This window comes from Homo sapiens, chromosome 3 (assembly GCF_000001405.40).
Source record: "Homo sapiens chromosome 3, GRCh38.p14 Primary Assembly".
NCBI classification, from domain to species: Eukaryota; Metazoa; Chordata; class Mammalia; order Primates; family Hominidae; genus Homo; species Homo sapiens.
Window position 1 is genome coordinate 126,567,976 of NC_000003.12, and position 13,225 is coordinate 126,581,200.

General features: G+C 50.4%; 1 long non-coding RNA gene across 1 annotated transcript in view, besides 2 other annotated features; it reads left to right on the plus strand.

Annotated features, from left to right (window-relative positions):
• LOC105374090 (uncharacterized) overlaps positions 1 to 13,225 on the plus strand; it is a 48,528-nt gene that overhangs the window by 8,963 nt on the left and 26,340 nt on the right. The window lies entirely within an intron of this gene.
• Positions 1,523 to 2,433: an enhancer, noted in NCBI's record as "H3K27ac-H3K4me1 hESC enhancer chr3:126288341-126289251 (GRCh37/hg19 assembly coordinates)". NCBI's record gives its function as "activates a minimal SCP1, AML or CMV promoter by ChIP-STARR-seq in naive H9 embryonic stem cells {active_cell/tissue: H9 hESC(naive)}" and the evidence as "EXISTENCE:reporter gene assay evidence [ECO:0000049][PMID:30033119]".
• Positions 2,434 to 3,343: an enhancer, noted in NCBI's record as "H3K27ac-H3K4me1 hESC enhancer chr3:126289252-126290161 (GRCh37/hg19 assembly coordinates)". NCBI's record gives its function as "activates a minimal SCP1, AML or CMV promoter by ChIP-STARR-seq in naive H9 embryonic stem cells {active_cell/tissue: H9 hESC(naive)}" and the evidence as "EXISTENCE:reporter gene assay evidence [ECO:0000049][PMID:30033119]".

Here is a 13,225-nt window from a genome sequence, read left to right on the forward strand (position 1 = left end):
GTATGAGCAGAAAGAAATTGTGCCTGACTCCTAAACGGCTTACAGGACAGAGAAGGGGGGGAAGTGATACTGGGGTTAAGGGTTGTGTCCTGGGAGCCTGATCTGGAGGCAGCCTGCAAGCATCTGCAGGAATAGCACCCTGTTCTCTCTCTGGAAGCCTCTGTGGCCAGTGCAGGAATCCCAGCCCCTCCCAGCCACAGGATGGGCTCTGCTTTCCCTGGTGCCATCGTGTGCTGGCAAAAGGGAACAGCAGAGGTGGATGCACGGGCTCCAGGCTTGGCAGGAAGACTGGCTGACCCCGCTCTGGGACTGCAGCCCTTGAGATTTTGAATATCAGAGGGAGGGGGTGGCCCAGCAGGCCTGCGCTCTCTGATGAGGCATGCGTGTGGTGCAGTGATGAAACGAGTGGGCAAGGGCTGAAACCACCTCTCCCCTCAGATTTTCTGGAGCATCATTCCCGGCACAGGTGCAAAGAGGCTCAGGATGCTTATGACTCCAGTGTAGATTGTGTCCTTCATAAAACAGAACAAACCCTCTCCGTCCTGTTCAATGTTTCTTATTTTACATTCTTTTTTTCACATTACAACTGTGACCCAGGATTTTGCCTGGGTAATGGTGTTTGCTTTGGGGACAGCAAGAGGTCATTCTTCCATCCCCTCCTTTCACCACATACAAGGCTGCTGGGGAGGAGGGGTCAGGGACATCAGATCATGGGGCTTTGAATTCTGCCCTAAGTCCAACCTGGGGCCTGTGAGTCCACTAAAGAGAAAACTCAAATTGCATATTTTTAAATACAGAGACCAGATTCAAGTTTGAGAGTAGACAGCTGTGTGTGCAGTGGGGGACTTAGTGGGGACCACAGAGGCGGCAGGGGGGACCAATGAGTGAGCCCCTCCCAGACTAGAGCGTGGCTCATGGCTGTAGGAGCAGGGACATTTGATATTGTTGACAGCTTTTGTGTGTGAAGTCCTTTTGTGACCTGAAAGGCACCAGCCCTGTGCCAGAGCCTGTGGTGGGAGCTGTGTCCCCTGGAGGCAGAGGGTGGTCCTGAGTCCTGGCCTCATCTCCATGGAGGGAATGTGAGCAGGGCACCAGCTCTGGGGTCAGGCAGCTGTCCAAGAAGATGTGAGTCCAACCCCTTTCCCCAAACACCAGAGGAAGGGGCCTTGACAGGGCTGGGAGAGGCCCAGGCTTGTTCCTCCAGGGCAGCAGCTCTCCAGTGCAGGCAGCCAGGCTGCCTTTGCACTTGGCTGGGCCGTCCTTGGTATGCTGGTGGTGATCCAAGGGGTTACAAGAAAACAGAGCCCCAGGTTCCCACAGGTGCATTCAAGGTGCTGCAGGAAGAAATTCAGACTGCTTGACTGTGAGGCTAGTCTGTCTTCCAAATGCCTGGGGTTGGAAATGCCCTTTAAATTGGCACACGGAGATGGCATGTTGGTCAGCACTCACCTGCTGCAACAAAGACACCTCCAATGCAGTGGCCCCGAAACACAGAAGCTGGCACCTCCCTCTCCTAACCCTCTAAAGATGAGCAGCCCACGTTGGTGGGACTGTGCCCAGTGAGGTCACTCAGTAGCCCTGGTCCTTCCTTGTGGTTCGCCTCTCCCTGAGGTGCATGGCGGCAGCTGGCTCCTTTCACACCTGTACTCCCGCCTGTGGGCTGGAAGAGGAGAGGAACTGGAGGGCAGAAAACTTCACATATAAGGACTTGAAGTGGAAGCTGCAACATCATGTCCCAAACCTAGTCACATGGTTGGCAGCCATGCCAGCTGCAAAGGGACATTGGACATATGGTCTCTAGCTGGCATTGTATGCCCAGCCGAGACTTTCCTCCTAAAAGGAAGAAGCAGGGACTGGCTTCAGCAGGAACTGGCAGGAAGCTCTTCTAAAGTGATGAGAGGCCTGTTCTCTAAGCAGATTGGTCTTTAGTTTCCCAACAGACTGGTGGCTCGAGGGTCCTCGCCAATGCTGGTGCTATGTGTCCAGCAGAGCAGAGCATGCCCTGACACAGAGCAGAAGCTGGTTCCGGACAGGCCCTTACTGCCCTGGGTCCTGCAGCCAGGCTAGTTGGGGGACCATGCCCTGAAGCACACAAGCTGGGTGCTCCCGCCTGTCTGCACCCTCTGGCAGGGTGGGCATGGGCCCTGAGCCCTGCTCTGCTCCTGCAGCTTGTGCCCTGCCTAGTCCCATCACATGTGGATACCAGGTCCAGGCACCTCCCTTCTCAGTGCCCAACCCCACCGCCACCCCGTGACCACCCAGGAGGCCACCATGGTTGTGCCCTGCCAGGCCCTTCCTCAGCAAACTGAGAAAATAGCTCCTCCTGGGGTGAGGGGAGCTGGAAGGTTTACCTCACCGCCCAACTGGCCGGGGTGTGAGCCAGGCAGGAATTTGGACAGTCTTGACACATGAAGCAGAACAGCCCATCCTGGCCTGCAGAGGGCACCGGGGGTGGCCAGAGAGCAGGAGAGCAGCCTGCAGTGCTGGGCTCTTGGTTTGGCTCTCATAGACCTGTGTGTGGCCTACATGGGCTGTTGGACACCGTCAGACAAGGACTGGAGGGACATGTGGCTGGGGTGGAGGACAAGGGTCGGAAGGGAGGGCAAGGGAGGAATAGAAGCCAGACACACACCCTCACTGCCTCCCCTCACACAGCACAGGGCCTCCTGGAAGGGGCTGGGCTGGCAGAAGCGGTCGGGGAAACCATCCACAGCCAAGGCCTGGGTCTTGAAAGCAGTCTGGAGAGATGGCGGCAGACTCATTTCATGGGCTCAGAGGCCAGGGAGGCTCCTTGGCAGCTCATAGGCCCTGTCAACTGGGGCTACTAGAAGGACGAACTGTGTTCAGGGCCCTGCTTGGTGGCTGACAGCACACTGGGCCCTGGAGCCGCCTCACCTTTCCGTCCCTTCAATGTTCGTGAGTCTCCCATACGCGCTACTCTCTGCTGGTCCATCACTGTGTGTCGTCGCATTATTTCATGCGGTTTAAAGAGTCAAGCAGTTCACATATAAGGAGCTCATGGCTGTCAGCTGCAGGGCTCCTGGAGGCAGCTGCTCAAGCGAGAGGGTTGGTAACAGGGCCTCCCTGGCTTTCCTAACTGGACAACAGCAGCCATTGCCACTCTGTGGCTCTCACTGAATCACTTGACACGAGCAGAGCAGCAGCGCCCAGAGCCGCAAAGCCTTCCTGAAATAACCCTCCACGAGCAGGGGGCTCTTCCCCCATGGTCCCATTGTCAGGTCCGGCAGGAGGCAACAGGTGGCCCACTCCTGAGGGTGAACTCACCAGGAGAGTTGCAGGAGATGTTAGCACCCCATGTCAGCGGGGAGGAGCTGCCTGAGGGCTGCGGCCTGGGTGGAGGTCACAGCCTCTGCCCACCTGGGGTGGCTGTGGGGCTCCCACCCCATTTGGTCTCCTGCTGGTGCCTCCCATGGGTTGGACCTGAGTGGAGGTCAAGGCTGGAGTCCTGCTGACAAGTCCTGGAGGTCATCTCCAGGGACACAAAGCAGGTGGAGGAGGGCTGGTGGTGGGGGCGGTGGGGGGTGTCTGCAGGAGCAAACAGAACCTCCAGCACACTGCTTTGCTTCAGGAATGACTTTTCTGACTCAAGCTCAGCATAGTGAGTGGCATGCTGTCCCCTGCCCCACCACGCACTGCGGCAGGTGCTCCCCGCTGCTCACCAAAACCAAAGGCCATACCCTCTGTGCCTACTGTCTCAGGCCATGCCTGCCAACAATCCCCTGCTAGCTGGCCAATGGTGACATTCCCATCCTTCACAGGGGAGCATTATTCTCAAACAGGGATGTATGAGTCTATCGAACTCAGCACTTGTATTTCATTGTTTGTATCTGGTGCATTATTTTATACAAGTAATATGTGCATGTGGTCTAAAGAGACAAGAAGCCCTAAAAGGCTCACACGAAATACCTCTGCTCTCTGAACAGCCTTTTCCTTCTGCCAGGTCCCTTTCCCAGCAGCAGTGGTGTTTGTCTGGTTTGGTGTTTCTTATTGCTAAGCCATTGGGTGTAGCTGCTTTGGCTTCTTCCATGTGAGAGATCATCCGCTGATACCTGTTGTGGGAGATGAGGACTCAGCTGTTAAAAACCGGCCTCCATGCCCTATCTCATCCCCTAAAGCAATTACAGGAGAACTTCTGGATAAATCAGCATTCATCACTTACATTTCATGCCTGGGCAAACATCATCCTTTCTCATGGCTGGCTCTGCCTTACCCTCCACTTTCCCAGGGCCAGGATAGGTTTCTTGACCTTTCCCCTCTGGCTGCCCAGGCTCTCCAGAAAGACATTTTGCCTTCTCCTGGGTGGAGGGTACAGATCTGGCTTGCAGTGCCCTGGAGATCTTCAGTAGTCTCTTAATCTCTTCCAGGGGACTGGGAAACCCCTGTCCAAAAACCTTGTCTCCATGTTCCAGAGAGGACGCCTCTGCAGTGGTGTGGGAGCAGCAGCAAGCCAGCCCCACACTCAATCGTGCCCTCACAGGCTCCAGTGGCATCTGCTGCTCAGCTTTCAGCTCCGGCTGCCCAAGTCTCCTCTCGCTCAGGTCCCTCATCCAGCTCTGGCTTCCAGAGGTCAGCTGCTGCAGTCTCCTATCCTCCTATTCTTCCGGGTCTAGGCTTTCATGAAACATCCCGCTGCAATCTGAGAGGACCTTCGGTAGACAGTATTATTACATTTGTTTTCAATCCACCCTCTTAACCCAGAGGTCCACTTTATCTTATATATCTTTTCTTCTGTGCCATTATTATTATAATTCCTTTCTGTTTAAGGCAGTAAGATTGGTTTCCTTTTACGGTAGTTGTAAACCAAAAGTATCTCAGACAGGTCCCAATCAATTTTTGCCAAGGTTAAGGACACATCCCGGGAGACAGGTCTGTGCCTTTCTCCAAAGATGGTTTTAACAGCTTCAATATTTAAAGGGGAAAAGCCTGCTGGAGGGGACAGAGGGAGGGTATGGTCTCATTACTGAATCCACATGTTGCAAGAGAAAAGGAGCAGGTAGGGGAATGGTCAATTATGTGTTCATCCTGTGCTCACTATAAGATAAGGTGAACATGGAGTGAAGCTCTTTAACTTTTATCTGTTACTGTCTGCTCAGGAACAAAAGGAAAGGCTGCTTCTTGCACGACTCGGCTTTCAGCTTAATTTTTTCCTTTAGGCAGAGTGAATTGGGGTCCCAGTTTTATTTTCCTTTGTAAACCAAAAATAAAATTCTAAGGCTCCCCAACCATTTGAATAAACCCCTCCTCTCCACCAGGGCATTCCAAAGTTAACCAGAAAAACTGTTTTAGGACATGATGGGAAGGGAGCGTTGAACATGCTTCATCATACCATCTTCCTGTTAGCAGCGGTGGCGAATCAGTACAGGTCTGCAGCAACCTCAGTTCTTGCCTCCTCAGAGGAAAGAATTCAGCCGAGGGGCATAAGGCAAAGGGAGAGACAGAGGGCAGTTTGGAGCAGGAGTGAAAGTTCACTAAAAGGTTTATATACTTTTTATAAAGGTTTAGAGCAGGAATGACAGGAAGTAAAGTATACTTGGAAGAGGACAAGTGGGTGTCTTGAGAGATCAAGTGCACGGTTTGACCACTGACTTGGGGCTTACATGTTGGCAGGCTCCCGGAGGGTTGCATCCCTTCTCTGATTCTTCCCTTGGGACGGGCTGTCTGCATGAGCAGTGGCCTGCCAGAACTTGGGAGGGGCCACGGGTGTGGTGTGTTTACTGAAACCGTGCGCATGCTCGCTTGAGGCGTTCTTCCGTCCCAGTCAAGTGTTTTAAACTCCACCGTTTTGCCTCTTAGTGCACATGCTTGAACCCACTCGCCCAACTCCAGAGACCTTATCGGGAAGCTGCTGCTCACCAGCTTCAGATTGTATCTATCTATTGGGAGACTGCCTTTTCCTGGCGCTGGCTGCGACCAATTATTATTTTTAGAGAGACAGTTTCACAACTGCCTGACCATCACCTGATGGTGGCCTGACATTCCCGGTGGGGAGGCCCTTTCCTGCCATGCTCATGTCTGACTAGCTACCTATACTATAACACTCCTTTTTGGATTTCAGGAAAAGCTGACCAGCATTAACATCAACACAGACCTTAAGTGTGATAAGAAACATTTATATTCTATTCTCTCTGAAGCCTGCTACCTGGAGGCTTCATCTGCATGTTAAAATTTCGGTCTTCACAGCCCCTTATCATCGTAACCCAGATACTCCTTTCTATTGATCCCAGGTCTTTAGATAATAACTTAACTCTTTCAAACAACTACTAATTAGAAAAATTTTAAATCTACCTATAACCTGGAAGCCACTCTGTATATCTTACATGTTTTCGATTGATGTCTCCTGTCTCTCTAAAATGTATAAAACCAGGCTGTGTCCTGACCACCTGGGGCACATGTTCTCAGGATCTCTTTGGCCACTGGTCACCCATATTTGGCTCAGAATAATCTCTTCAAATATTTTACAGTTTGACTCTTTTCATTGACACCTTTCACATAGCAATATTGTTTCCTTTTAAAATACATATATTTAAGTACATATTCATAAAATGTGAGTTGATTTATAAAAATATTACTAGGTAGGGCAGGCGCAGTGGCTCACACCTGTAATCCCAACACTTTGGGAGGCCGAGGCTGGCAGATCACCTGAGGTCGGGAGTTCAAGACCAGCCTGACCAACATGGAGAAACCCCATCTCTACTAAAAATACAAAATCAGCTGGGCGTGGTGGTGCATGCCTGTAATCCCAGCTACTTGGGAGGCTGAGGCAGGAGAATTTCTTGAACTTGGGAGGCGGAGGTTACGGTGAGCTGAGATCGCACCATTTTACTCCAGCCTGGGCAACAAGAGCGAAATTCCATGTCAAAAAAAAAAAAAAAATTACTAGGTAAACAGTATAGGTGAAAAGTGACTGGTAGAAATCAGGAGTGATGGAAGTTTGGGAAACACAGCACTTAAGGAATTTTAAGGTTCCTTAGATATTTCTGAAATTTAATGATTTTGTAACTATTAGGAAAGTAAAGAAAGATACCTAAATCTCCAAATTTGTTTGATCTGAAATACCCAAATGATCATCTTAGTAGACTGAGAAAAGCTTTTGACAAAATCCAACACTCTTTAAATGATAAAAACTCTCAATAAACTAGGAATAGAAAGGAACATCCTCAACTCAACAAAGGGTGGCTGTGAAAATTCCACAGGGAATAGAACATTCAGTGATGAAAGACTGAATGCCTCCCCTGGGATCGGGAGGAAGGCACGGGGGTCTCTTCTGGCCACTTCCACTCAACATTACACTGGAGGTTCTAGGTCGTGCAACCAGGAAGAAAGAAACAATCCTGTCCAGATTGGAAAGGAAGGAGTACAATTATCTTTATTTGCAGGTGACAGGATCCGGTACCTAGAAAATTCTAAAGAATTCATTAGAAAAACTACCAGAACTAATAAAACTAGTTCAGCAAGATTGCAAGTTGTAAGATCAATATACAAAAATCAAGTGTACTTCTATATACTAGCAATGAGCAATCCAAAAATGAAATTAAGAAAATTTCATTGACGAAAGCATCCAAAAGAATAAAATATTTGAGACTAAGTTTAATAAAAGAAGTATAAGACTTGTACCCTGAAAACTACAATATATTGCTGAGAAAACTTCAAAAAGCTCTTATATAAATGGGGAGACATTCTATGTTCATACATACTGAGATTTCATCATTAAGATAAAATACTCTCAAAGTGATCTATATATTCCAGGCAAAATCCCAGAAACTGATAAGCTGATCCTAAAATTTATATGGAAATACAAAGAATCTAAAATAGCCAAAACAATCTCGGAAACGGACGAAATAGAAGGATTCACACTTCCCACTTTCAAAATGTAATACAGGGTTACAGTAATGAAGTAATGAAGACAGACAGTGTGTTACTGGCATAAGAATAACCAATGGAACAGAATTAAGAGTCCTTCTGGACTTACATTTATGACCAACTGATTTTTGACAAGGGTGCTGTGCAATTAAATGTGGAAAAGGCAATCTTTTTTTTTTTTTTTTTTTTAGAGACGGAGTCTCGCTCTGTTGCCCAGGCTGGAGTACAGTGGCGCGATCTCGGCTCACTGCAAGCTCTGCCTCCCAGGTTCAAGCCATTCTCCTGCTTCAGCCTCTCAAGTAGCTGGGACTACAGGCGCCTGCCACCCCGCCCGGCTAATTTTTTTGTATTTTTAGTAGAGACGGGGTTTCACCATGTTAGTCGTGATGGTCTCGATCTCCTGACCTCGTGATCCACCCACCTCGGCCTCCCAAAGTGCTGGGATTACAGGCATGAGCCACCACGCCCGGCCGGAAAAGGCAGTCTTTCAAGGGTACTCTGTCCAATGGTACTGGAACAATTAGATATATGCAGGCAAAAAAATGAACTTAAAAACTTACCTCACATCATACACAAAAATTACCAAAAATAGATCATAGACTAAAATATAAGAGCTAAAACTATAAAACTTCTAGAAAAAATGAGAAAAACTTTATGATTTTGCATTAGGCATAATTCTTAAATAAGATACCAAAATCATAATCCAAAGGAGGGAAAAACTGACAGTCAGACTTTATCAAAATTATAATTTTTGTGCTTCTAAAGACACCATTATAAAAATGAAACAAGCCACAAATGGGGAGGAAATATTTTCAAATCATATATATGGTAAATAACTGGTATCCAAATAATATAAAGAGCTCTTATCACCCAAAAATAACAAAACAAACAACCCAGTTAAAATATGGACAAAAGATCTGAAAAGACATGTCACCAAAGAAGGTATATGACTGGCTGAGAAGTACCTAAAAGGCCCTCAATATTGTTGGTCATTAGAGAAATGAAAATTAAAACCTCAGTGAGACACCACTCTCTACCCATTAATGCCTATTATAAAGAATTATTGCTGAGGATGTGGAAAAACTAGAAATTTCAATGGGTTCAAGCAATTCTTCTGCCTCAGCCTCCCGAGTAGCTAGGACTACAGATGCACGCCACCACACTCAGCTAATTTTTGTATTTTTAGTAGAGACAGGGTTTCACCATATTGGCCGACCTGGTCTCGAACTCCTGACCTCGTGATCCGCCCGCCTCAGCCTCCCAAAGTGTTGGGATAACAGGTGTGAGCCACCGCGCCTGGCCGTTCTGCCTGTTATTAAATGTGGTCTACGAACACTGATGCGTCCAGCTCAGGGAAGGTTCTTGGCAGCCCCTCCAAGGGCAGGTGCTGCAGTCACCAGGGTGGGAGGCACCCTCTTCTGTGCTCACCACACACCACTGCAGGTGTGTGCCCAGCAGCTGTTCTCCTAGGGTTAGAGGTTCTTTCTACATAATTCATTAAACTCTTTTCCACAAATATTTGTTGCACACCTACTAGGAGTCAGGCAGTGTATCAGGAGCTGGGAATGCAGTGATGAGCAAACCAGACACAGGCCCTCCTCCCACGCAGTATGCAGCCTCCTGGGGGAGGCAGACTGGAACCAAATAACCAAGAAGGAAATTCTCTGTGGGTGGGGGCTGAGTACACATTGATTAGATAAAGGGGAAGGGAAAGGGCTGCGGGCAGAGAAAGTGCAGAGCTGGCTGGCTGGGCACCTGGCTGGAGAGCAGGGAGCTGGGGGTAGCTGGAAGATGGGCAGCCCCCCACTAGGCAGGGCCTTGAGCCATGCTAGGGACTTTGGTCTGTGGTATCAGAGTACTGGTGGTCATTTACACAGGCTCAAAGTCAAGATCCACAACTCACCAGTGCATGACCTTGGATGCATTACTTACTCTCTCACCTTAGTTTCCTCACCTGTCAAATGCAAGCAATCATAGTTGCAGGGAGGATGAAATGGCTGTGGAGGTCCTCAGATGGTACTTGCACACTGGGAGGCTGGGTGGGTGTTTGCTATTCTTATGCAATCCAAAAGAAACGGTATCTTTAAAAGGTTTTAAGCAGGAGAGTATCATCAGATTTGTGGACATGGGAAGGACAGATGGGAGGGGTGGACATGACAGGGGGACTTAGGACGTGGAATTGAGAGGTTGGATGTGGAGGGGAGGCAAAGGAAATGTCAAGGACCAGCCTCTGCTGGGGCAGCATGGAGGTGCCAATTGCTGAGATGTGGGTTGTAGATGTGGTGTGTGCTAGGAGGCAGGGTGTGTGCTGGGAGCTGCGGCCTAGATGGGTGGCCAGGGGAAAACAGTGCCTAAGGAGGACCCGGGGCTGTGGAGCAGGGGGGCTGGGGTCTCTGCCTCCACACTGCTGGCCTTCCTGGTGTGGGGCCGCCCATGCTTCTGGGATGTTTAGCATCCCTGGACTCTCCCAGCCGAATGCCAGTGCAGCTCCCAACTCTCCAGCTGTGGTGACCAAAATGTCTCTGACATTGACAAGTTTCCCTGGGCAGGGTGGGAGGGGAGTGGGGGGCATCACAACTGCAGTTTGGAGGCAGTGCTCTAGGTCTCAAGGCTGCCCAACACCCAGAGGGCAGCCCTGCGCTCCAAGTCCGCCCTCCCCAACACACTGGGCTGACCCCACCAGACCCTGGGCTCTGTCTTCAAAAGCCCATCCTCAAAGTACCAGCCCACGAACTAGCCCCCACACTACCATCCCATAATGCTCTGCCCACCCCCCTCCTGCCCCGAGTGACCTCCACACCCCCCACTCCCTAATTCTTCTGCTGTGCACCAGGAACTGCTCTCCTGGTGGGGGTGAGGGCAGCCCCACGCCCATGTCCTTACCTCATCTTCTGGTGCCCTGCCCCTTGCCCTGAACAAAGCCTGGCCTCCCATGCCTGGTTCTGGGCAGCAGCTAAGGGATCCACACACAAAATCTAACAACACACAACCCAGTGCCAGGGCCACACGATCCTTGAGTGGGCGACCCTGGAGAGCTGCACCTAGAGGAAGAGAGGCCTGGGCTCTGGTCCCCCTACCTGGGGCCTGGTCCTGCTCTGCGCCTCGTGCTGTGTGACTCTGGGCAGGCCCTTCACCTCCTGACCCTCAGTCTCCTCAAATGGAGGCCAGGACTAAGCCATGCCTCCTGGCAGGGTTGTTGTGGGCTTAAAGACGACACACCTGCTAGATGAGTCCCTTGCAACGCAGGGCAAAGGGATGAAGGGGGAAGAAGGGCTGCCCTCACTGGGCCTCTGATGATCCCCAAACTGCCCTCAAGCAGTCCCTGCACACCTGTGCCCTCCCAGGGGATGGGCTCCAGCCCTGGCCAACTTCTCCAGGTGCTCAGTCACACTGCTTCGTCTGGGGTCTCTCCCTTGTGATCTTAGCTATAGTCATGACCACATTTCACCCTGACAAACATGTAGAGCAGGAACCAGCCACAGAAGAAGGGGCTCGCAGAGAGCTGTTGTCCCACCCACATGCCCTGCTCCTTTCTGCAGGCCAGACACAGCCACCACTAGATCTGGGGTTCTGTCCACGCCATGTCCTCCCCTTTGCACACTCAGCCTGCACTAACCCCAGCAGAGAAGCAGCTTTGTGTGGCACCCCCAACACTCCCCTTGGTGGTCCCCATTGGCTTGGATCCGTGATCAGCAGCATGCCACATGGGACCCTCCTTTCCATCCTCTCCCTCTCTTGTGTGTGGTGGCATCTCCTGTCCTCCCGCAAACCAAGAGCTAAGGTGGGCAGTCCCTGATCACAGGCTGGCATCCTGGGTTCAGAAGACAGACTGCCTGGGTTCAAATCCCAGTCCCAACGCTTACTAACTCTGGGCCTTGGGCAAGTTTTATAAATCTTCATCTGCTTCCTGTGTGTCTCATGGAGTTGACAATTAAATACAGCCCCTGCCTCAGAGAGCTGCGATGCAGGTTAAATGAGACACAGAAAATGTGCCTGGCACAGAGCTCAATACATCGTTGCTATTGTTGTTGTTGATTTTAAAAGCAGTTTTCCTGGTATTTTACCATAAAACATATGGACTAGTGTGAGCCATTCTGCTATTTCCCATGATAAGAAAATGCAGGCTCTGCCCTCCACAGGTAAGGTATGAGAGGGCTAGCTAGCCAGGCCCCTGTTCAAGCCCACGGAACAGCTTGAAGCCCAGCACTCAGGGTGTTAGTGACTCTCATTGCCTGCGCTCCTCAGAAAAGGTGACAGAACTCAGAGAAGTGAGAGGTTGGCCTCCGACACACAGCTGCAAACCAAAGGGCTAGGATTCTGCTATGAAACCCAGGGCTCTGTAAGGAGCAGTTTATGTGAAACATGGTATTTCTGGCAAGTAAACATTTGCTGAATGGAGGAAGTCACAGGGAAATCCTCAATCCTGCCTTAATGAGACAAACAGTCTGCTTAAGTGACAAAATGATTGTTTGTTTGTAACCCACCAGAGAGCTGAGAATGCAAACAAAAACAAAAGCAAAAACAAGGCAGACTAAAATAAATCCCCAAAAGTGACAAGCCTGCTCAGAAGGAGGGGGCCGGAAGCTGCTTTCCTCCAGGTAAAGGGCTGGAAGTGGAGGAGCCCACCATGGATGGGGAGGAGAAACCAGCCATGCTCACAGCAGAACGCATGGGGAGTGGGTGTGTGGATTCCAATCCCCAGGAGCCCCAGCCCAGGACAGGTCGGCACCCACCCACCCTGGTTCTCCACCCATGCACAAGGCGGAACAGGATTGATAAGAGGCATCCCTCCAATGCAGTAAAGACTGGAGGCATGGCGCAGGGCACAAGGGGACCCCAGAGGCAGCACTGGAGAGCAACAAGAATGCCTAAGCAGTCCCCAGGGCCGAGGGCTCTCAGTAAGGCAGAGAAAAGTCTCCTGTGGTCAGATGCTGGGTGCAGGCTGGAAAGCATGAAGATGGCTGGAGTCTTTCCAGTGCTGAGATCCTAAGCCCTACCGATGGGTCAGTCCTGATCACACTTTCAAGACGTGAGGTTTGTGGAGAAGAGTCTGACTACAACTGCAAAAAAAGCCCAGCCCAGCTTGGCTACATTTGGAACGACTGAGCCACCCACACTAACACATGGGCAGAAAAGGAGGAACACTCTTTTTCTGGAGGGTAAATGTTATTTATTAATACTTCAGCCTCTACTTTAGGTCGTGAGAATCACTAACACCCTGAGCGCTGGGCTTCAAGCTGTTCAATGGGCAGCCAACCCCAGGGTCCTGGATAGCCCTCCCTTACCTTACCTGTGGAGGGCAGAGCCTGCCCTTTCTTCAGCCTATCCTTTCATACATAATGCC